This window comes from Homo sapiens, chromosome 11 (assembly GCF_000001405.40).
Source record: "Homo sapiens chromosome 11, GRCh38.p14 Primary Assembly".
Taxonomy (NCBI): domain Eukaryota; kingdom Metazoa; phylum Chordata; class Mammalia; order Primates; family Hominidae; genus Homo; species Homo sapiens.
This window is the reverse complement of record NC_000011.10, coordinates 73,437,472-73,461,194: the sequence shown is the minus strand read 5'-3', so window position 1 is coordinate 73,461,194 and position 23,723 is coordinate 73,437,472. Positions and strand designations below refer to the sequence as shown.

The following is a 23,723-nucleotide window of genomic DNA, read 5'->3' as shown; positions in this document are numbered from 1 at the left end:
CAGTGAGCCATGCTTGTACCATTGCACCCCAGCCTGGGTGACAAGAGTGGAGACCTTGTCTTAAAAAAAAAAGATTGACAATGAATTCAGTATCTGATTTACTCCTGTATCTCTAATACCCAGCTAGGCCCCTGCATGCCATGAATATTGACTAGTTTTTCAACAAATGGATGGACAGATAGATGTCAAACCTGGAAGTAGAACCCAGACCTCTGGCAGCCAATCTAGTTCTCTTTCTGCTCACCTTATAGCTGCTTTTTAATTTCCAACACACTTAGTTAGATTTCTTTAAACAAGGTAACTCTCTTATCTTCGGTCATTTCCCACCTCTCTGAGTTTCTTCTATAAAGTAGGGATAATAGTGTCTGCTTACTTCAAAAGTGCTTTGAGGGGCTGGGCACAGTGGCTCACGCCTGTAATCCCAGCACTTTGGAAGGCCGAGGTGGGTGGATTACCTGAAGTCAGGAGTTCGAGACCAGCCTGGCCAACATGGTGAAACCCCGTCTCTACTAAAAATACAAAAATTAGCCAGGCATGGTGGCACATTCCTGTAGTCCTAGCTACTGGGGAGGCTGAGGCAGGAGAATCGCTTGAACTCAGGAAGCAGAGGTTGCAGTGAGCTGAGATTGTGCCACTATACTCCAGCCTGGGCAATAGAGTGAGACTTTGTCTCAAAAAAAAAAAAAAAAAAAAAAGCATTAGTAGCCTTTGTTTATTATTCATCATCATTATATCCCCAGTACCTAGCACAGTGACTGGTACAGAGTTGGCTCTCAGTAAATTTTGAAGGAAGAAAGGGGGGAGAAGAAAGAAATAAAGGGAAGGAGATGAGACTCTAATGAATGAAGGAGGTTACAGCAGAGAAGTATGAGATGGGTTTGAGGAAAAGACTCCTGTGATTTGTCTATCCTTGCTAATGAGTAGCCCTCTGATATGGCAAGGAGAGTCTGGGACAGGTAGCCAGTGCGGGAGAGATTTTTTTCTGCTTTGTAGGTGAATAAAAATTTCATTTGGAGGCCGGGTGCGGTGGCTCACGCCTGTAATCCCAGCACTTTGGGAGGCCGAGGTGGGCGGATCACGAGGTCGGGAGATCGAGACCATCCTGGTTACCACGGTGAAACCCCGTCTCTACTAAAAATACAAAAAATTAGCCAGGCATGGTGGTGGGCGCCTGTACTCCCAGTTACTCAGGAGGGTGAGGCAGGAGAATGGTGTGAACCCGGGAGGCGGAGCTTGCAGTGAGTCAAGATTGTGCCACTGCACTCCAGCCTGGGCAACAGAGACTCCGTCTCAAAAAAAAAAAAAAAAAAAAAAATTCATTTGGATTATCTGTTGTGACTGGTCAACCCCTCTGGATAGACCAGATGGAACAGGGAGACTTTTCTGTTTTTGAGTCTTATGGAGACTGAGCAGAGACCCTCAGAGAAAACAAGAGACCCTCTTTCCTTGCCTACTTGGTTTACAGCAATTATTCTTTTTTAGAACAATGATAGTTGAAATTTGACAATTCCTTTGAGCTATTTAGCAATGAAGAGTTGTCTTCAAACCTCTTATATTACCTATGTAGTCAGCCTTAGGCTAGCTCATTTTGAGTGGCAGCTGCTTTGCTCAGGACATTTGACTTTTAAAAACAAAATGTGACCAGCCTGTGCAACATAGTGTGACCTCATTTCTTTTTTTTTTCTTTTTCCTTTTTTTTTTCTTTTTTTGACTCAGAGTCTTGCTCTGTCGCCCAGGCTGGAGTGCAGTGGTGCAATCTCGGCTCACTGCAAGCTCCGCCTCCCAGGTTCACGCCATTCTCCTGCCTCAGCCTCCCGAGTAGCTGAGACTATAGGCGCATGCCACCACGCCCGGCTAATTTTTTTGTATTTTCAGTAGAGACGGGGTTTCACTGTGTTAGCCAGGATGGGTGAGACCTCATTTCTACAAAAAAAAATTTAAAAATTGGCTGGACATGGTGGCACATGCCTGTTGTCCCAGCTACTCAGGAGGCTGAGGTGGGAGGGTTGCTTGAGCCCAGGAGGTTGAGGCTGCAGTGAGCCATGATTACGCCACTGCACTCCAGCCTGGGTGACAGAGCAAGACCCCGTCTATAAAAACAAAACAAAACAAAAACAAAGTTTGACTTTCCAGGACAAATTTTCTCTGAAGCATGTGAGAACAAAGGCTCACAAAACCGCATATAATAATACATAAGAAGCACAATACTTTACAACTTAAAGTTACGATTTGTGATCTCATTTAATCCTTACAACAAGCACTGTGAGGTAGAAATTTCTATTAGAGGCTGGGTGCAGTGGCTCACGCCTGTAATCCCATCACTTTGGGAGGCCAAGGCGGGCGGATCATGAGGTCAGGAGTTTGAGACCAGCCTGGCCAACATAGTGAAACCCCATCTCTACTAAAAGTACAAAAAATTAGCCGGGCGTGGTAGCAGGCACCTGTAATCCCAGCTACTCGGGAGTCTGAGGCAGGAGAATCACTTCAATCCGGGAGGCGGAGGTTGCAGTGAGCCGAGATCGCACCATTGCACTCCAGCCTGGGCGACAGTGCAACGAGACTCCATATCAAAAAAAAGAAAGAAAGAAATTTCTATTAGAACACTTATTTTACAGATGAGGAAAGAGTCAGAAATCCAAGCTCTTTCCACTCCACTGAAGTGTCAGGCAAGTCCTCTCTGGGTTTTGTAGTCCATATAAGCAGTGATTTTGTATCTGTCTCAGATACTGTGTGTGATGCTAAAAGCAGATGGATTAAACCTTGTCAGGGCAAGAATCATGCACATTAAACTATGTGTTTGCTTGTGACTGATTTACATGCGAAGCACCCACTCTACCACTGAGCTACACACCCTTGCTTGTGACTGATTTACTTTCCTGGGTTACAAAATGATTTCCCACCTCTGTAAAGAAGAATAACTCTTTCTCCCAAACAAAGAAGTATTGCTGTTGTTGGGTTATTATTTTTCTGCTCCTAAATTCTCCTTGGCTTCCTGTTCTCTACAAAAAGTTGTTTATTTGTATGTTTTTCTAGACTGTGAGCTCCTTGAGGGCAGAAATTATGTACTTCTTGTGCCCACAACAGAGCAGGCAGTTAGTTCATTAAATATATGTTGAATTAAATTATTATTAGTTTATACAAATTATATTATTGTTGCTGTTATTATAGTAATAACTACCACTAATTACTGTCAGTGGAGTGCCAAGCACTTTACAAACGTAGTCCCCAATTTTTATGATAATCCTTCAAGGGAGAGCTATTATTATTTTACATATGAGGGAATAAGGTTCAGCTAAGTTAAGTAAGTTTCTCAAGGTCATATAGCTTATAAAAGCCAGCTTATGTGAAATATGGGTATACTTATGAAAAGTTTATTATGCTAAAGTATATGTAATACAAAATTTACCATTTTAGCCTTTTTTTTCTTTTCTTTCTTTTCTTTTCTTTTTTTTTTTTTTTTTTTTTTTTTTTGTCACCCAGGCTAGAGTACCGTAGCACAATCATAGCTCACTGCAGCCTCCAGCTCTTGGGCTCAAGTTGATCCTCTTACTTCGGCCTCCCAAAGTGCTGAGATTACAGGCATGAGCCACTGCACCTGGCCAATTTTAACCATTTTTAAGTGTATAATTGAGTGGCATTAGGTACATTCACAATGTTGTTTAAATATCCCCACTATTTCCAGAACTTTTTCATCAACAGAAATTCTGTAACCATTAAACAATAACTCTTCTTTTACTCATCTTTTGCCCTGCCTCTAGCCCTGGTAACCCCTAAATTTCTTCCTGTTTCTTTTTTTTTTTTAAACGAGATGGAGTTTCACTCTGTCCCACAGGTTGGAGTGCAGTGGTGCGATCATAGCTCACTACAGCCTTGAAGTCCCTTGGCTCAAGGGATCCTCCAGTCTCAGCCTCCCAAGTAACTGGAACTACAGGTGTACATCACTGTGCCTGGCTAATTTAAAAAAAAAAAATTAAAGAAGGGATCTCTCTCTGTTACCTAGGCTGATCTCAAACTTCTGGCTTTGGGCAATCATTTCACCTCAGCCTCCCAAGTCACTAGGATTATAGGAATGAGCCATTGTACTTGGCTCTTTCTGTTTCTATGAATTTGCCTATTCTAGATATTTCATATAAGTAGAATCATACAATATTTATTTATTCATTCATCTGTTCTTGTAAATGCCTTGGAATCTGCTTTGGCCAGTAGAGGTTGAAACCATGGCTGTCAGCCTCTGTGCTGGCCTCTCAGTGATCAAAACTAACAATCAGAACACATAACCCCCATATTTGGAGGCCAAGGTCCTTACTGCCCATCTAGCTCCAGCAATCTGCACCAGGGACTTGGAGGATGGTAGCCACTGGGCAAAAGGCTGAAATTCTCTGAAAATTTTACCAGCCTCTTCATTAAACTCTCCCTCTGCATACTGCAAGTGTTCTGATTAGACTCTGGAATTCCAAAATAGTTACTTCAGATAGTTTCTGCTGGCTCAGTAGTTGTTTATGTGGAGGATTCCTATGGACAAAGGCAGAATAGCAAAAGAGCTCCCAATGTAGGTATCCTTAAAACAATAACAATGAAAAACTGTCAGTGTCATGTAGTTTGTTAGCATTGCATAAAAGAAAGTATCGAGTAAGGATTTTTTTTTTCTTTTTCTGGCTAAAGTCTTGCTATATCACAGTATTCTTTGCAAATAAAGAATGGTCATCACCCTGCATGACAGTGAGAGACATGCTTTCCATGTATCTGTTCACAGTGATGGGTTCTCACAATTAGCTCAAGACATAGCAGTATATTCAGTCATTGGTAAATTTCTATAAAATGGTGGAAAATTGTCCTATAGCTCACTTTCTTACCTGTCTTCTGCCCTGGTAGGGGGAAAAATCTTTACTCATTACCATGCTGAGAGTTTTGAATTAACATTTAGGTGGCTGCTTATGTCTGGAGAGATTTTATTTAAGGTTTTGCATCAAGGTATTTTAAACCTGCCTTGCCACCCTCCAGGGGTGCTGGTGATCACATCTTTTCTATGGTAAGCCAATCTTTGAAGCATCCATGCTTTATATATTTTATTTCATTTAATCCTCATGACATCCCTAGAAGATAGATGTTAAAAAATTGATCAGTTAAAAAACTGATGCAGAGAGGTCAAATGACTTTTCCAAGGTCATAGAAGATTCCCTTACAGTTTGCCTGGCTCTAAAGGCCCTACTTTTTTCTTTGTTCATGCTGAATGAAGGGAGAGCCTAGAAGTAAAAAGTTCCTTTATTTTAGCTGTTTCCTTATTCAGAAAATTGGGAGATTGCACCTCAGGATGCCTAGGAGCTGTTAAAAGAGAAAGCAGTAAGCCACATAGGTGCTCTCTTCCCCTCCAGTAGAGATCTGCTCCTGCCTATTTTATAGATTAGGCATCCAGGTGAGAAGGATTCTACTGCCATAGGAGGGGGCCTAAATGACTGGACTGGATGAATTCTGACCTTCCAATTTTGTTATATACTCTGTTCTTTAAATTGCAAGATTACCAGTTTTATAAAGACTCATACACACAGTGATTGTGTGTTCTTTGTTTATGGTACCTCCATAGACTCTCCATCTTAACCAGCACAGATCTGTAAGAAATGGAAAAACAGAAGTATAAGAAGACAGAATACACTGAGACAAATACTATCTCAGAGGGATGTGCCACTGTATTCCAAAAGCCTAACATAATAAATAAATGTACAAATTGCTGTGGAAGCATGGTGTATATAGAGGAGGGCCACAACACTGTCAGAGCGAATCAGGATATTTTCTTGACCCCTTTGCTGGACTTGCGACAGGGGTGCCTCATTTACTCAGTCCACCCTTGTCTACCCCTTGTGGGACAGAGCGTGTGAGCGAACCAGTGCAGGAACTAGAGCAAGTGCTTTTGGGCGCTGGCAGGAACAAACTCTGCTTACTCAGCTCGCCATGCTCAACCCTTTGTGGAAGGGAGCAGTAGGCAAGTGAGTACAGGATCCAGCCGGCCACTTTTGGGCTCTGGCATCAGTGAACTCTGTGCGGGCCCCAAGGCAGTGTCCAGGTGGGGGTGCCTGTGACTACTGAAGCCCCAGAGGGCGTGTTACAGTGCTCTTTTAGCTCTGCTGTCCATGAACAGCTTAAGTGTTAACAGCCCAGTGGGCTCTTTGCCTTTTTGTGTGAGGCTGCCTTCCACCAGCGAGTGCAAAGGGCCAGTGTGCCAGCCTTTTTGTATCCACACTCGTGGCTCCCAAGCTCTTGTCTGGCATCCAGGAAAAATGAGGTAGCCTAAACGAATTGAAGGGTGGTAAATGCAGGAGATTTTATTGCCGATGAAAGTGGCTCTCAGTGGGAAGAGGGGCTGAAAAGGGGACGGGTTGGGTAGGTAATCTTCCCCTGAAGTCCAGCTGTCTCCAGCCAGATTCTTCGAAGTTTTGCTGTCAAGCTGTACCTCTGAAGTCAAGCCACTTCTCTCCAATGTCCAGCCATAGTCCCGTCTACCAGCTGAATCTGGAGTTTTTATAGGCACAGGATGGGGTGGGACCATGGGTGGTTTAGGAAAAGGCAACATTTGAGCAGGAAAACAGAGATATAAGTTCTCACTTTGGGCCGCGGTTTCAGGCTTTTTGGCTTGAGGGTGGGGTTTCGCCAGGGGCCTGCTCTTTTCTGCTAAGAATTTCTCTGCCCCCTATCCCTATCAAGAGGTTGGTGTCAGGAAAGCCTTCTGAGAAGGCAAGCGTGAATCTTGAAGCATGAGAGGAGAGGAGTTACTAAGTTGTAATTCTGATTCTGCTACTAACAACTAGGAGACACTTGACAAGTTCCACCCATTTCCCTTGCCTTCACTTTCCCATCTAGGCTATGAGGGGCTTATGTGAGTTGTTTAGTAGTTTCCGTTAGCTCTAACAATCTGGGTATTAATCTTTAAATTTTTGTTAGATCTCTTTTATTATAAATCAGCTGGCTGACTCCTTCCCTTAGTCTATTTCTTTTGCATTTTCTTGTAAATGCAATTTTTCTGTGTTCCTTCTTGGAATCCCTGGTGTTAATGAAGGGTTCAGAAACAGATTAAGATGAGGTGAGCTCAGTACCCTTACTCAGCGCCCTCTCCTACAGTGACAGTCCAGGGCTTCTTTCTCTGGAGCTTCTGACATTCTTGGGCAAGCTCAATAGACCATGAAAGCCAGCCTGTCCATAAGTATCCTATGAAAGGTCAGGTATAGCCATAGCTACCACCAGTGAGTGACTTCCCTTTCCCTGCTAATTAAGCTCATGCAATTTAATTTAGCTTTCTATTAGTTATGTATGGTCCTTAATCAATGGTGATATAATTTTTGTGGCCTCGAATACAGCTGAAAATCAGTGGGATGTTGACACAGGACTGGAAGAGCTTTTGGCTGTGCTGCATAGATTCTCATTGGAATGGTTTCTGTTGCGTAATGTAGTGGGGAGAGCCTGTTCTTGAAGTCTGAAGACCCGAGTCTGACTCCTGGCTCTGCCTCTAAAAACTTTAATAAGTTCCTTTACTTCCAATGGCCTCAGTTTCCTCTCCTATAAAGGTAGGAATAATAGTATCTACCCTATCTGTCACTTATTCGTGAGACTTTAAGGAGATAATTGATCTGGAAGAACCTTTTAAATGTGACAGATCTAGTCATGGGTAGAGCCGCATTGATCATTGTACTGACTTTTCTTATCTTGAGGGTTAACTGCTTGCGGGCTGGGTCCCCAGGAGGCTGTTGAGATTAGTAACTTTACTAGTGCTGATCTCTTTTTCGAAGAGAACTCCTTGGCATTTAGGGTCAGAATTGGCCAGCTTCCCAGAGTTCTACTTCCCATGGAATCACAGAGATTCTGGTCAGGAACCAGATAGGTCCAGAGCTTGGGAAAAAAATGGTGTCTGGGTAGAGAGGACCCCTTTCCCCACCCATTTTGTTCCTCTAGTGGATGGGTTTATTATAACAGCTATCTATGAATAACAGTAATGGTTGCTGTTTGCTGAGGGCCCTTATGGGCCATACACCGTGTTTTGGAAACTTTTCTACCAAAGTGTACCTGCTATCAGAGGAGAATGAATTCATCTCTGGATTGATGCAGGAGTGAATAGCCCACAGCAGCCACTCCAAGGTTAAAATGTATTTGAAGTCTATGTCTTATCTTCAGAATTCATAAGGATTTTGCCTTAAGGCACCATTATGTAGTCATACTTGTTTTCTATAAAACAAACACTTCAAATTATTTACCGTCTGGTAAAATTAACACCCCAGGAAGGTGCGCCTATTTATTCAGTACTTTTTTTTTTGTAACCTGCAGCATAGTGTTGAGTAACCATAGGAGTTCCTGTACCCAGTTTGAGAATTATGTCATTATTTTACTTATTATTATTATTTTTTTTTTGCAAAACATTCCACACCATTTTATTTCAACTTTCATCCAAAAATGTAAACTGGTTAAAAATGTGTAGTCCTGAGCTTTGGATACTGACCTCCAATCTTCATAGGTAGATGGAGAGAGAGGGTCAGGATAGAAGTTCAGAGTGCTTCCCACCCCTAGAGAAAAGGTAAGCCCTAGACATGGTATAGGACCAGAACACCAGGGTCCTATGGAGAACAGGCCTCCTTCTCTTCTAGCACTGGCCCAAGTGCCTCCCACTCACCCCCTCACCCCAGACTCTCCTTTTCATCAGAGAAGAGACATTCAGAATTCTTCAGTCTTGTCCATGAAGATGGTATATGGCACATGTAGCAGGCAGCTAGCTAAACAGTGAGGGTTAGGGCTTATCCCCACTGCTTTTTGGCAGGAAGGACAGGGCACAACTCAGCTCCCTCCTCTTCCTCAGAAACATCATTGCGTATTGTAACTTGGGTTGACAGGATAACTTGAGGTTTGCCAGAGGGACTGTAATCTCCTGGTGGTCACAGTTCCAGGTTACACCTTCTATCACATTACACTCATTGTTAGCTCCCTTGGTGAAGCAGAGCATAATTAATGCCAGCACATGCTTCATATTATCTTCTTCCTCTACCTTGAATGTAAAGGAGTGGGTGTGGCCAGAGAGCTACAGATGAAGAAAAAACTGTCCATAGTGACTGAGGCTGGAATCCCCAGACTTCCAACACCCCAGCCTGGGCTTGGTTCTCCTGACTCAAGGTGGTGGCAGTGGTGGCAGCTGTGCTGCAAGGTTTCTCTTACTTAATCTGTATTATCCAAGTTTTAATAGGTGTAGACACAAATCAAGAAAGATGAGAGGACTTGTTTCTGTCACAGAGCCAGGAAGTAGAGAAGCCAGAATCAAGCCTAAGTTCGGATGTTTCATGCTCTTAACCACTAAGCTACATAGTTAACTTACACTCATGGACTATTTAACAAGGGGGATACATTTTGAGAAATGCAACAATTAGGCAGTTTTGTTGTTGTGCAAATATAATGGAGTGTACTTACACAGACGTAGATGGTACAGCCTACTTACACACCTTGGCTATGTGGTATAGCCTAGGCTACAAATCTGTACAGCATGTTACTGCACTGAATAATGTAGGCAATTGTAACACAATGGTTGTTTGTGTATCTAAACATAGAAAAGGTACAGTAAAAATGCAGTATTATAATCTTATGGGATCACCTTCATATATGCTGTCATTATGCAGCATATGACTGTAGACTGTCTTATAATTGTTTATATCTTTAGTAATACCCATTGCTATTGCAGGCAGTCATTGTGTTCTCAGTGCTAACACAAAGTGCCTAACACAAAGTGAACTCTCAATTAATATTGGTTAGTTGAGTGAATAAAGGACTGAATGATCAAACCTCTAATAACGAAGCCTTTTCAGAGGTCCATAAATCTCTCTGGCAAATTGACCTGAGAGTTTGGAATAGGCTTTTTGTCCCGAGGGTCTTCTCTAAACAGTAATTCACATTTAGCTCTAAGCCAGTGCTTTCACACAGAAAATTACATTATTTATAGGGAACTCTGGATAGATAGACAAAGCTGCCCAGGAGCTCTTATGCCTCACCTTCTTCCCAGACAGCCTAAGAGCTTAAGGAATCAGTATCTCAACTCAACCTGTAACCCATTTAGATAGCTCCTAAGCTGCCATGAAGGGGTTCTCAGAATTATCTAGTTTATGTTTGTCTTCCCAACCCCTAATATATATCACACATGCACACACTCGTCTCCATCCTTGCACCTATTCATTCCTGGTTCTTACTATGGTAATAAGCACAGGTATGTTGTGGAAAAAGCTGGTCTAAGAGTTTTTTTCTTAGTAGCAGCTAGTAGTAGTATATGCATACTTTGGGAGATTAGAGAACCTCCACTGTAGACTTGTCCTTTCTTTCAGGGTATATTGTCTGGAACTTCTAGGAGAATTCCTCTTCTGAACTCAAAGCATCTTTTTTAAGAGACAGCTTTGCCTTGTGAAAACCCACAGGCATTTCCCTATGTTCTGAGCATTCAGGGTCTGTCTGGTCCATAAAAAGAAACCAGTTGAAACCTGTCACTATTGCTGTTTAGATTTGGGGGGAGGGGAGTGGAGAAGGGGGGTCGTTTTGTTTTTGGGAGGGAAAAAAGGCCATAAGCTAGGTGAATATCCTGATACAGTGAACCTTTTCTTACGGATGGAGAAACTTTTCCAGCATCTGGAGGTGCCCAATTGTCAGTTTCCAAAGTCTCTGTGACTAATAATTGATTTATACTTTATAGCAGTGATTTTCTAAATGTAACCCCTGGGCCTACAAACCTACTAGAAATGCTAATTCTTGGGCTTCAGCTTCAGACTTACAGAATCAGAAACCCTAGAGGTGGTTCCCAGCAAAATCGGTGTTTTTACAAGCTCTCTGGATGATTCTAATGGACCTATCTCCCATTTAGTAAATGTTCCATAGTCTTCCTCTTCTCTCCCAATTTTGTGAGCTTGTCTAGGAATCTTGCCATCATGAATGTCATAATTCCTTCAAGTTCAAAACAGCTTTAGAAGCAGGTTATGTGTCAAATGTCACACATGTGTCAGCTATGACAGGAGGGGCTGCTGGCACCTTCTCAAGACAGATTGGGTGGTCCTAAACCCTGGACACAGGGATGCAAGCCAGTTTCCAGCAGGATAGCCAACAATTTTCTTTTCCCTTGCACATTTTAGGAAAACTAAATAATTGGCCCCTAAAATTGGCTTTAAAAGGACTCATGTTGAGTAAGGTCAAAAGTGTGATTACTTGAAAATTGCTCAGCTGATGGGGAAGGTACTTGAATTTAAGTGTCTAAATCAGATTTTTGCTATTACTGCTGTCAGCAGGAGAAGATGCAGAAAAATCAGTAGTCCTTGGTCTTGTTTAAGCTACAAAACCATACTTCTTGTTACCTCCAAAGGTCTCTGTCTACCAAGGAGAAGCTTTGGCCTTCACTGTTACCACAAGTGCTGTCACAATTTGTAAGTTTATGCTGAGTTCATTGGACTCTGTTGCCTTATGCCTGCATGGCAGGAGGCCTGAAATCTTCGTGGTACCATAAGATAGGTGGGGATGGGCAAAGAGTCAAGACCTGACTCCAAACCTTCCTACCCTCTTCCCGCCTTAGTGTGGATCCCCAGCTGGGAGCTCTGAATTGAAATGCAGACAAGAGGGCTGGGCACAGTGTCCAAAGAGGGGACCTGATCCTAAGTAGTTCTGTTGTAATTTAGGTTACTAACCATCCTGAGTTTCCAGAGGAGCTTGGAGCCTTAAGAAGGTAGGCCGAGTGATTCATATTATTATAGTTATTTTCATCATTTGAGTACCCATTCCCTAGTAAATCCAGTGCCAGATTTTTTTTTTCATGTAGCTTAGTAGTTAAGAATTGTCTGTGTTTGAATCTCAGCTCCGCTGTTTTATCACTCACTATGCATCAGTTATAAATGCCAGAATATGCTACTGGAAGACTTGATTAACAGTAGCTTAGGCCAGGTGCGGTGCCTCATGCCTGTAATCCCAGCACTTTGGGAGGCTGAGGCAAGAGGATCATTTGAGCCCAGGAGTTGGAGACCAGCCTGGGCAACATAGAGAGACCCTGGCTCTCCAAAAAAAAATTTTTAAATTAGGTGGCGCACACCTGTGGTCCCAGCTACTCAGGAGGCTAAGGCAGGAGGATTGCTTGAGCCCAAGAGGTCAAGGCTGCAGTGAGCCATGATCATGCCACTGCACTCTAGCCAGGGCACCACAGCAAGACCCCATCTCAAAAAGAGAAAGAAAGGAAAGATAGAGATAGAGTTAGAGAGAGAGAGAAAAAAACAAAACAAAACAGGAGCTTAAATAAATAGGTAAATAGGAGGTATATTTTTCTTACATAAAAAGAAGTCTGAAGGTCAGTGGCAGGTGACATTGATTTATTAGGTCAGTGAGTACAAGACCAATATCTCTATGATTCTTTGGCCTTTTCCTCCTGCTCTAAGATGGCTGCTGTAGCTCTAGTCATTATGTCTCTGATGGAGGTAGGAAAAAAGGGTTATAGAGGAACACGAGTAATGTCTGTTCTTCTCCTAGGAAAGCAAAGACCCAAATATCCCCAGCAGACTTCTGTGTACATCTCATTGGTCAGAACTGGGCCACGTGGCTATTCCTAAGTGCTAGGAAAGCTGGGAAAGTGAGTATTTAGCTTTTCCAGACTCAGTAGTGAAAGCATTTGGTAAGGGCAAAGGGTGTTGGGAATGATCATTGGGTTAGTGAGCCCATTGTCTATCACAATTACCCAGGCAAGTAAATTAGCTTCTCTAGTTGGTTTCTCATCTATACAATAAAGGTAATGGTAGGACCTACCTCATGAAAGGGTTGTGAGGATTAGATGGGATTAATGTGAAGCGCTTAGCATAAATACTTGATACATGGGGCTGGGCGTGGTGGCTCACACCTGTAATCCCAGCACTTTGGGAGGCTGAGGCGGGCGGATCACAAGGTCAAGAAATCAAGACCATCCTGGCCAACATGGTGAAACCCCGTCTCTACTAAAAATACAAAAATTAGCTGGGCGTGGTGACATGCACCTGTAGTCCCAGCTACTTGGGAGGCTAACGCAGGAGAATTGGTTGGACCCAGGAGGCAGAGGTTGCAGTGAGCCAAGACCACATCACTGTACTCCACCCTGGCAACAGAGCGAGACTGTGTCTCAAACAAACAAACAAACAAACAAAAAGTAACTTGACACATAAGTAATAATACTGGATTTTATTATTAGCATTATCATCTCAACTCTGCAAAGTGATTATTATCCCGTTTTATATAAGAGATAGCTAAAGCTCAGTGAGTGGAAGTAACTTGCCTGAATTTATAGTTTGAAATGACAAAATTAGGATTTGAGTCTGTCTCTGAATCTGAAGTCCATGCAGCTTTTTCTGCAGTGGAAGTTGAATCAGTAGGGAAATGGTAGTTAGCTGATGGGTCTATCTTGGATAGACCCAGGCCAAGGGGTCTTATCAGCCACAAGGCTTGGTGATTAGAGAGGGATTAGAAAGGGAGAAAGACTGAAAAAAAAAAATAGGTTTGGGCAGTGAGAGCCCAAGCAGAAACTCCCATGTGGGACATATAAGAACACAGAGAACCACAACGTAGGGGGCCATCACTGGACTGATACTAGACCTAACAAATTGGGGGGTGAATTTTTTTTTTTTTTTTTTTTTGAGACAGGGTCTTACACTCTGTTGCCCAGGCTGGAATGCAGTGGTGTGATGATCATAGCTCACTGCAGCCTCGATCTCCTGGGTTCAAGTGATCCTCCCACTTCAACTTCCCAAGTAGCTGGGAATACAGATGCGCACTGCTGTGCCTGGCTATTTTTTTTTTTAATTTTTGGTAGAGATGAGGTCTTGCTATGTTGCCCAGATTGGTCTTAAATTCCTGGGCTCAAGCAATTCTCCTTCCTCTACCTCCCAAAGTACTGGGATTACAGGTGTGAGGCACCATGCCCAGCAATATTTGAGAAAACTGGAAATGTAATTTGATAAGGAATATAAGAAAAACTAGTTAAGGGAATAATAACCAGAAGGAACACCTAATCTAGTCTGAAGGGGAGAAGGTCAAGGAAGACATTTTGGAGAAGGAGGTGAAGTGAACAAGAGAAGGACTATCTGAGCATTGAAAAGAGCCTGAACAATGACATGAAAATAGAATAATCAAATGTTAGAACAGCTGTATGTTGTTGTTGAAGTGTAAAATGCCAGACCCGGCGTGGCAAGAGAAGAAATAGGACATCTAAATGTGCAAGAGCTGGACTTGGCTGGTCTTTATGCTGTGATAAGAAGTTTGGAACTTTATCCTTGGTGGTGGGAAGCTGCCAGAGACTTTTAGGCATGATGGATAGGTTGGCATTTTTGAAAGATCTCTCTGGATGTAATGAGATGGATGGATTGGAGAGAGAGGGAAAAAGGAGAAGACCAGTTAGGAGAGTGTTGATACTTCAGTCAAGAGACCTGAACTAGGAGCTGTATTTGAGATGCAGAGGTGGGGACATGTTTGAGACATTTTTAGAGAGAACAGTGTCTAGCTTTCAGTAGGCATTCAATATTTGTGGAATATGAATGAATAAGTTAGGACTTGATGTTGGACTTAGGGAGTGAGGGAGGAGGAGGAATCTGGACTTACCTCAGGCTTCCTCCAGCAAAGGTGACAGGTTGCATGGGCATGACCTTCACTGAGTTCTTGGGGGTACTGAGGCCAGAGTGTGTGTCAGAGACCTTTCCTTTTAGATGTTGCTCAGGTAATTTTCTCATATCCCTTGAGGAATCCCTCTTTTTTCTAGTTCTTGGGCATTTCTAAACAGTATACCTTGGTAATTGTGGGACAGTGGTCTTCCTATTTTATATTAATAGATTTGGAAACTGAGGTGCAAAGTAGTTAAGTAACTTGCCTTGAATCATCCAGCTACTGAGAGTTAGGAAATGTTCTTTCCTTTGCAGCATGTTGCCTTTGTATAAGACTTTTAGACTTCCTGTTATAATTTCAACTGATTATAGGTCATAATAAAACAAGCAGTAAAATTCAGAAGATTAGATTGATCTAATTACTCAGCTGTTAAGATGAGGCCTGAGTTAATTGTAATTCAATGTACCTTCTAATTCAATCCCACAGAGTACACAGTGTCATTTGCATTGTACAAAGAAAGTTCTGCTGATACCTCCTTAATGTTAAAAGGAAAAAATAAAATAGCTCATAGAAATAGAGCCAGATATTTCCCTACCTTCATTCTCTTTTGTCAGATCTGGTTTCAATCTTAACTGTCACTTACATAACCATGAGCAAATTACTTAACCTCTTAGAGCCCCAGTTTTCCCACTTGTAAAACATTATGGGAGATGTTCATTTAATAGTAGCTGTTGTTACTATCTTGCAGATGAGGAAACAGAGATAGAATATTTGATAAGGGCTGTAAGTGTCTTGCCCAGGTCATATAGTAACCTAATGGTAGCTCTAAACAAAAAGGTGTTGAAATGGTAGTATTTTCTAGAGATCATTGACCTAAGACATGTTCCATTTCACTTTATTTGAAAATCCTGTCCTGGTGTGCATGTTGCACACATTTCCCACCTACTTCCTTTAGGACCTCACCAGCCTGTTGACAAAGTCTCTGGAAACAACAACCCTTTAAATTTTTAGGGCCCAATAAGAGTTTTTAAAGGCTGGACCTGAGGCTCATTCCTGTAATCCCAGCACTTTGGGATGCTGAGGAGGGAGGATCACTTGAAGCCAGGAGAGACCAGCCTGGGTAACATATTGAGACCCTGTCTCTACCAAAAAAAAAAAAAAAAAAAAAAAAAAAAAAGAGACATTTTTACATATATCTACTGGGTGTTTGTATTCTAGTTCTGGCTCTGCCAGAAGTATGAGTGGCAGTTATTTGGAACAGATGACATGTCTAACAATAAGAGATTAATTGAAAATATCTAATGTCCGACCGATAATATAATCTTTTTTTTTTTTTTGAGATGGAGTTTCACTCTTGTTGCCCAGGCTGGAGTGCAATGTCGCCATCTTGGCTTGCCGCAACCTCTACCTCCCAGGTTCAAGCGATTCTCCTGCCTCAGCCTCCCAAGTAGCTGGGATTACAGGGATGCACCACCACGCCCAGCTAATTTTGTACTTTTAGTAGAGACAGGGTTTCTCCATGTTGGTCAGGCTGGTCTTGAACTCCCGACCTCAGGTGATCCACCCACCTCGGCCTCCCAAAATGTTGGGATTACAGGTGTGAGCCACCGCGGCCAGCCAATATAATCATTTTATGGCTTCTCTTGTTGTTTTACCTTATTTCCAAAACAGTGTATGCTCATTTTAGAAAAAATAGAGAATACTGACATGAGAAGAACATAGAGGAACACTAATAATTGTATATCTGTTTTTCTAGGTCTTTTAAAATGAACATACATACATTGTTTTTCAACAAAAATGAGAGTATATGCTATGTACTGTTGTATAACTCACCTTAATTTACTTAAGGAATTCTAGATTGGGTTTAGATTTGTTTCAGCTAATGCCCTGTTGGTAGACATTTAGGTTGTTTGAACTTTCACTATTAGCTAGTAGCATAAAGCAGAAATAATAGACTGAAATAAATTACAAATAAAAAGGCAAAAATGTGGGGACACTTTCATTTACAATTTTTTAAAGAGGGACAAAAATGTTTTAAAATGCACAAAAGATTGTAAATACACATACTCACAACAGTATACAAAAAATTACCTGTATTCAGAGAATGACTGGTTTACTGTTTCTACAAAAAGCCATGCTGACTAGAAGCTTGCTTTTGTCCAGCTTGTGCTTGGTCAAACAATAATAGGCCTAACCAGCTGGAGCCATGTGAGAGTTGAGGGAAAGGCAGGGTGATAAGGCACATGATTGAGGATCTGGAAGATTTTTCATCAAACAATCTTAAAATCCATGGGCAAACACAATTGTTTCCAACAGGGAACTTTTAATGAAAAGGGCATGGGTGGGAGACTATTATTTACTGAAGTACTTACTGTTCTGTGCCAAGTATTTATGCTAGTTGCTTTGCATGCCATCTTTTATAATTTTCTGGCCTGCAGTATAGGATATCCTTGTGTTCATGAGGATTAGGTAAAGGGACTTTTCTATGATATTATGTCTGGTAAATGGTACAGCTGACTTTTGAATCCACACTGCCTGCCTTCAGAACCCCCGTTCTTCCCACTGGACTATGATGGCTCCTTTAGGATAGCCAGAGGAGGAAATATCTTCTTTTGATTCACAGTAAGAATGTTTAGATGGGTCTCTACGAAGTAAGTTTAGGGCTTGCTCTGAACTTACTCTGGCCTGGCCCTGCTCACCTTCCAAGCCGGCCCACATGCAGATACAGGAGAAGGAAAAAAGGACACTGGTGCTAACATAGAATAGATACTCAAAAATTATTTACCAATAAGTAAGTTAACTGATTGTGTCTATTTTTTAAAATATCAAAACCCAGGCTTTGAAAATTGAAGTGATTTGCCCAAAGTCACAGAGCTAAAAAGTAAAAGAGCTGGAATTTAAACCTAGGTCTGCCTATAAATGAAGCGCCACTGTTGCATAACACTACAGGTTGTCTCAGTTTGACACCTGCTGTCAGTGTCCACAACAGTAGGGAAGGGGACATGACCTGAGCACAGGTAACACTCTATTTAAGGTATCTCCTGTCACTAACTTGGAGTTGCAGCAACCTTTCCAATCCAGAAGCCAGACCAGATTAAAAGTCTTTTCGTCTTTCTTCCCTCTTCTCTCACAACGCTTATATCTCCCTCTGTGATGGCCTTTGTCCCTGGCAGCCTAATATCAGGGTTACTTATGTTCTTGCTTGTCTTTCTCATTAGATGGTGAGTTCACGGAGGGCAAGAATTATGTCTTCCTTTTGCATTCATTATAGCACTTAGCACACATTAAGTGCTCAAATAAGTATTTATTTAGTTAAATTGGCCAAAGTTTGTGCACTTGGCTTATTTTTGAAGGCAGTCGCTCAAGTATTAACATTTAATGTATACATAATTCTAAAAAGCATGGATTTTTGGCTTTCCAGCCTACAACTAATTATAGCACTGGGAAAGGGCTAAGAAAGGTTGTAGGATACAGGCTTTGGGATGATAAAATAAGTATAAAAGTGAACTTTAGCAACCTGAGTGTAAATGTAAACAAAGATGCCTTTAGTTATGTGCTCCTAATTTCCTCCATTTTTAAGGGTGGAAAAAAGGCTTGGCATATATATATATATATATATATATATATATATATATATATATCCTTTGTATATATAAAGGAAAATTCCTGTGGACTCTTCTGTCTCCTCAAGCTGTCACTTCCTCTCCTTTCCTTTACTGTCAGCATCTTTACTCACTCTGTCTCAAAAAAAAAAAAAAGAAAGAAAGAAAGAAAAGAAATAGAAGCCTTGAACAACACTGTACACCACGTATACCCAACAGTCACCTAGAGGGCACTCCAATAATAGAATATAATTCTCAAGAATACATGGAACAATCTTCAGGATAGACAGTGTGCTAGGCCATAAAACAACTCTCAGTACGTATAAAGGATTGAACTCATACCAAAGTATGTTCTGTGACTGCAGTGGAACAAAATTAGAAATCAGTAACAGAAAGAAATTTGAGAAATTCACAGTTACGTGAAAATTAAATGACACATTCCTAAATAACCAGTGGGTCAAAAAAGAAATCACAAGGAAAATGAGAAAATACTTTGAGATGAATGAAACATAACATACCAAAATGTCTGGGAAATTTATAGCTGTAAGTGCTTACATTAAAAAAGAAGAGGCCGGGCGCGGTGGCTCATGCCTGTAATCCCAGCACTTTGGGAGGCTGAGGCAGACGGATCATGAGGTCAGGAGATCGAGACCATCCTGGCTAACACGGCGAAACCCCATCTCTACTAAAAAATACAAAAAATTAGCCGTGCGTGGTGGCGGGCGCCTGTAGTCTCAGCTACTCGGGAGGCTGAGGCAGGAGAATGGCGTGAATCCGGGAGGTGGAGCTTGCAGTGAGCCGAGATTGTGCCATTGCACTCCAGCCTGGGCGACAGAGTGAGACTCCGTCTCAAAAAAAAAAAAAAAAAAGAAGAAGAAAGACCTCAACTCAATAACTGAATCTTTCACCTTAACACACTGCGGGGAAAAAGAGCAAATGAAGCCTAAATCAAGTACAGGAAAGGACATGATAAAGAAATCAGTGAAATAAAATGGAGAAAAACAGAGAAAATCAATAAACCAAAAGTTGGTTATTTTAAAAGACTGGCAAAATCAACAAACCTTTTTAGCTTTAGCTAGGCTGATGAAGAACAAAAGAGAGAAGTCTCCAATTACTAAAATCAAGAATGATACAGAGGACATTACTACAGACTTTTAATAGAAATAAAAAGGAATATGAGGTAAGACCGTGAACAATTGTATGCTAACAAATTAGGCACCTAGGTGAAATAGACAAATTCCTAGAAAGAAAGAAACTGCCAACACCGACTCGTGAAGAAATAGAAAATCTGACTAGACCTATAAGAGAGAATTAGTAATCAAAAAACTTTCCGCAAAGAAAAGCCCAGGACCAGATGGCGTCATTGGTGAGTTCTACCAAATATTTGAGTAAGAATTATCACCAATCCTGCACAAACTCTTTGAAAAAATGGAAGATAAAGGAACACTTTCTAACTCGTTCTATGAGGCCAACATTACCTTGATACCAAAACCAGGCAAAGACATCACAAGAAAACTATAGATAGACCAATAACCCATTTGAATACAAATGTAGAAACCCAGAACAAAATAGGAGCATTGTTTTGGGTCCTATCCAACACCTGATATTGTTACACTTTAAAATTTTTTTGCCTGCCTAGACTGGGTGTGGTGGCTCACGCCTGTAATCCCAGCACTTTGGGAGGCTGAGGTGGGCGGATCACAAGGTCAGGAGATCGAGACCATCTTGGCCAACGTGGTGAAACCCCATCTCTACTAAGATACAAAAAATTAGCCAAGCGTGGTGGCATGTGCCTGTAATCCCAGCTACTTGGGAGGCTGAGGCAGGGGAATCGCTTGAACCCGGGATGCGGAGGTTGTGGTGAACTGAGATAGCGCCACTGCACTCCAGCCTGGTGACAGAGCAAGACTCTGTCTCAAAAAAAAAAAAAAAGTCTGTCTGATAGGTATGAAATGATATAACATTCCTTTTTTGTGCATTTTGCTGATTACTCTTGTGGTTGAACATCTTTCTGTTTCTCCCCAGTCAGCTGTATGGTTTCTTTTGTGAATTGTTGCCTGATTAGATTCTATTGGCTTATTTTCATTTCTTCTTGATTGATATGAGTTTTTTAATCTGGCCTCTAGTCCAATGTTACATATGTTACAAATGTCTTTTATTTCTCTGTGCTTGCCTTTTAACTTTGTTTATGGCATCTTCTGACATATAGAACTTTATGTTTTAATTAGTTAATTTTTTCACCCTTTTGTGGTTCTCCCTTTTGGTATCATCTAAGAAACACTTTGTAATCCCAAGGTCATACTGATATTCTCTGGGACTCTGATATTCTCCTATTTCTTTTTCTTTTTTTTCCTTTTTCTTCTTTTGAGACAGGGTATCACTTTGTCACCAGGCTAGAGTGCAGTGGTGCAGTCACGGCTCACTGCAGCCTCCATCTCCTGGGCTCAAGTGATCCTCCCACCTCAGTCTCCCTTGTAGCTGGGACTGTGGGCACACACCACCGCTTTTTGTAGAGCCAGGGTCTCGCTACATTGCCCAGGCAAGTCTCAAACTCTTGTGCTCAAGCAGCGGTCCTCCTTCCTCAGCCTCCCAAAGTGTTGGGATTTCAGGAGTGAGCCACCACGACCAGCCTGTTTTATTTTAAAGTCTTTGGTCTTTCTAGAATTGGAGAAGTGTGAGGTGTGGGGTGGGGGTGTCTAATTTTATTATTTTACATGGAAAACAAGTGTTCTAATATATTTTGTTGAATCTGAGCAAGATTTTTCCCTTCAGTAAATCTCTTTAAATGGAACAGTAGAATAAAAGAGTGGGCCAGGCGCAGTGGCTCACACTTGTAATCCCAGCACTTTGGGAGGTCGAGGCAGGCAGATCACTTGAGGCCAGGAGTTCAAGACCAGCCTGGCCAACATGGCGAAACCCCGTCTCTACTAAAAATACAAAAATTAGCTGGGCGCGGTGGCAGGCGCCTGTAATCCCAGCTACTCAGGAGGCTGAGGCAGGAGAATCACTTGAACCTGGGAGGCAGAGGTTGCAGTGAGCAGAGATCACACCATTGCACTCCAGCTTGGGCGACAAGAGCAAAACTCCGACTCAAAAAAAAAAAAAAAAAAAAAAAGTGACCTGAGAGACAAAGGTATTCATGGACCAAATTATCGATTCACAAAATTTCACCTTGCTCTTTGATCTGTTTTAGAAGATAAACACACAGAGGTCAGAGACACCAAACAACCTCTAAAGTGTTGAGTACCTCCCAAGTGCCTTATAAATGTAGGAGAAAAAAGAAGCAACAGCACACTCCTAGAATGGGGATTGAGAGAATAGGCCATCTGCTTCCCATTAAAATTTCTCCTATACCAGCAGATAGGGAACTGCAGAGATATTTTTAGATTTGTTAAAAAAAAAATTGTCCTGAGGCAACAGCACACTCTTGGCCTTATATATTTACGTAGGAGCAGTTATATTACTAGCGTCTAAGCAACTTATTTTCTTATCTTTTTTGTTGTTGATACTGTTTGTACACTAATAACATAGGAAGTTAAGGCTGATCTGGTTTTAGCAGCCTTTCTGTGCTAGGGCTCAGCCTAGGTGAATGACCCAGAGGTTGCTGGCCTTTAACCTGGATAGGTATGCTTTCTCTGAAGATGCAGCACAACTCAGAGCGCAATTGATTACTGGATATTTCCTCCTGTCTTGTTACCTCAGGAGGAGCTGCCTTGCCCTAGATGAGAACAGTGCCTCATTTATTATAGTTCACACCCTTTACAATTCCCTGCAGCTCGCCAGTGGAAGGCTGGGTGGCTGGGCCTTGAATCTAATATACAGGCTATCTTAGATTCAGGTCTGGTGGACAGGTTCAGAGCCAGCACTACAGAACTGCTGCCTGCTTGGGCTGACCTACATTTTCACCAGTATAGCACTCTCAGCAGTCAAGCCTCCCAGCTAGTAAGAGAAATTCAGATTCATGCATTTTTCTGGAGCTAACAGATTCAAGGGTCTATTTATTTTATTTCCTTCTGCCTATCAAAGAAAAGAAGGGGGGGTGAGGCGGGGGGATAGTACTTGCAAACCCTGCAGTTAGAGTGTTTCCCGTCATTCTTTGTAGCTTCTTAGCCCACAGGACTAAAATGGGGTTTTGTGCTCAGGATCAGATTTTGTAGGCTCTGCCTCCTAAACATCTTTGTAGTCCCTCCTCTCTTCATCCTATTGCTAGTGTTTTAGCTTTTCCTTTGGGCTACTGTAGTGACTTACTATCGTGTTCCTCCTTCTCTGATCTTAACCACTCTGAACTCCTTTTCATTCTGCCGCCAGAGTAGTTTTTGTAAGACATACATATGAAACCCCCCAGTTTAAAACCCTCCAATGTTTTCCTGTTATTTTTTGATTAATTCCATCCCTTAGCCTGGCATTCAAATCCCTTCACAGCCTGTCCCCCAGTCTACCTTTTTATCTTTATTTCCTGCCACTTTTCCCCGCACGCAGTAAATTCCAACTGTACTTAACTGTTTGCCATTTCCCTAATGTGGTATGCACTTTCATACCTTCATGCATGGAATCAGTATATATTTCTTTGTTCCTGCCCCCTCCGCACCTTGACAAACTCCTCCCATTCATTGTTCAAAGCCAACTAAAATGTTTATTTCTCTAAGAAGCCTTTCCCAACTATTCTAAACATGTTCTTCATTTCCTCCTCAGCATTCTGATAACACTTTCAGCATTCTCTGATTATATCTTACATATATTACTGCTAGAGATTAATTTAAATAACTATATTATTTTCCCATTAGACTGTAAGTGCTCTGTAAAGAACCTAGCACCCTGCTTGCCACAGAGTATTTGCCAGATGCTATGATGATGATGGTGATGATGATGATGATGACGATGATGATGATGATGATGAAATCTGGATGCAGTCACTTTAGGCCTTCACTGACCACAATCACCATAGTCTTGTTATGTCAGCTTAATTATCTTTTTTTAATTGGGGAAAAACTATCAGCAGAGGAATCAACGAGGCAAGAAGAAAAATTGAATTGTTTTAAGGGAAGGGGATTTGTAAATTGAAGTCTGATCACAGGTGAGCAGTCAGGATGAGGGAAGATTGAAGGAACTGGGTCTGTTGGATTTGAACACAAGAAAATTCAGGAGGAATCATGGATATCTTCATATCTCTAGCAAGCTGTCCAGGAGGAGAGGAAACAGACATGTTCTGTGAGGGTAGAACTAGGACCAGGAACTAGAGTGCAATGGTGCGATCTCGACTCACTGCAACCTCTGTGTCTTGGGTTCAAGCAGTTCTCCTGCCTCAGCCTCTGCACTCCAGTGGCTGAAAAAATGTTCAGGGTAAGATTCTTAATAAGTCAGATTTTTAGCTCAGAGTGAAGAATTTTCTAACTTCAGAGCTCTCCAGTCGGTGCTTTGACTCACTGAAGAGGTTCTGAGCATACCATCATTAGAAGAGTATGCTGCGGGAGGCTGAGGCAGAAGAATTGCTTGAACCGAGGAGGCAGAGGTTACAGTGAGTTG

At 41.8% G+C, this 23,723-nt stretch overlaps 1 protein-coding gene across 5 annotated transcripts in view, besides 1 other annotated feature; it reads left to right on the top strand.

Moving 5' to 3' along the window:
* FAM168A (family with sequence similarity 168 member A) overlaps positions 1-23,723 on the top strand; it is a 197,626-nt gene that overhangs the window by 136,918 nt on the left and 36,985 nt on the right. The gene's annotated exons all lie outside the window — the stretch shown is intronic.
* Positions 5,530-6,029: an enhancer, noted in NCBI's record as "H3K4me1 hESC enhancer chr11:73166211-73166710 (GRCh37/hg19 assembly coordinates)". NCBI's record gives its function as "activates a minimal SCP1, AML or CMV promoter by ChIP-STARR-seq in naive H9 embryonic stem cells {active_cell/tissue: H9 hESC(naive)}" and the evidence as "EXISTENCE:reporter gene assay evidence [ECO:0000049][PMID:30033119]".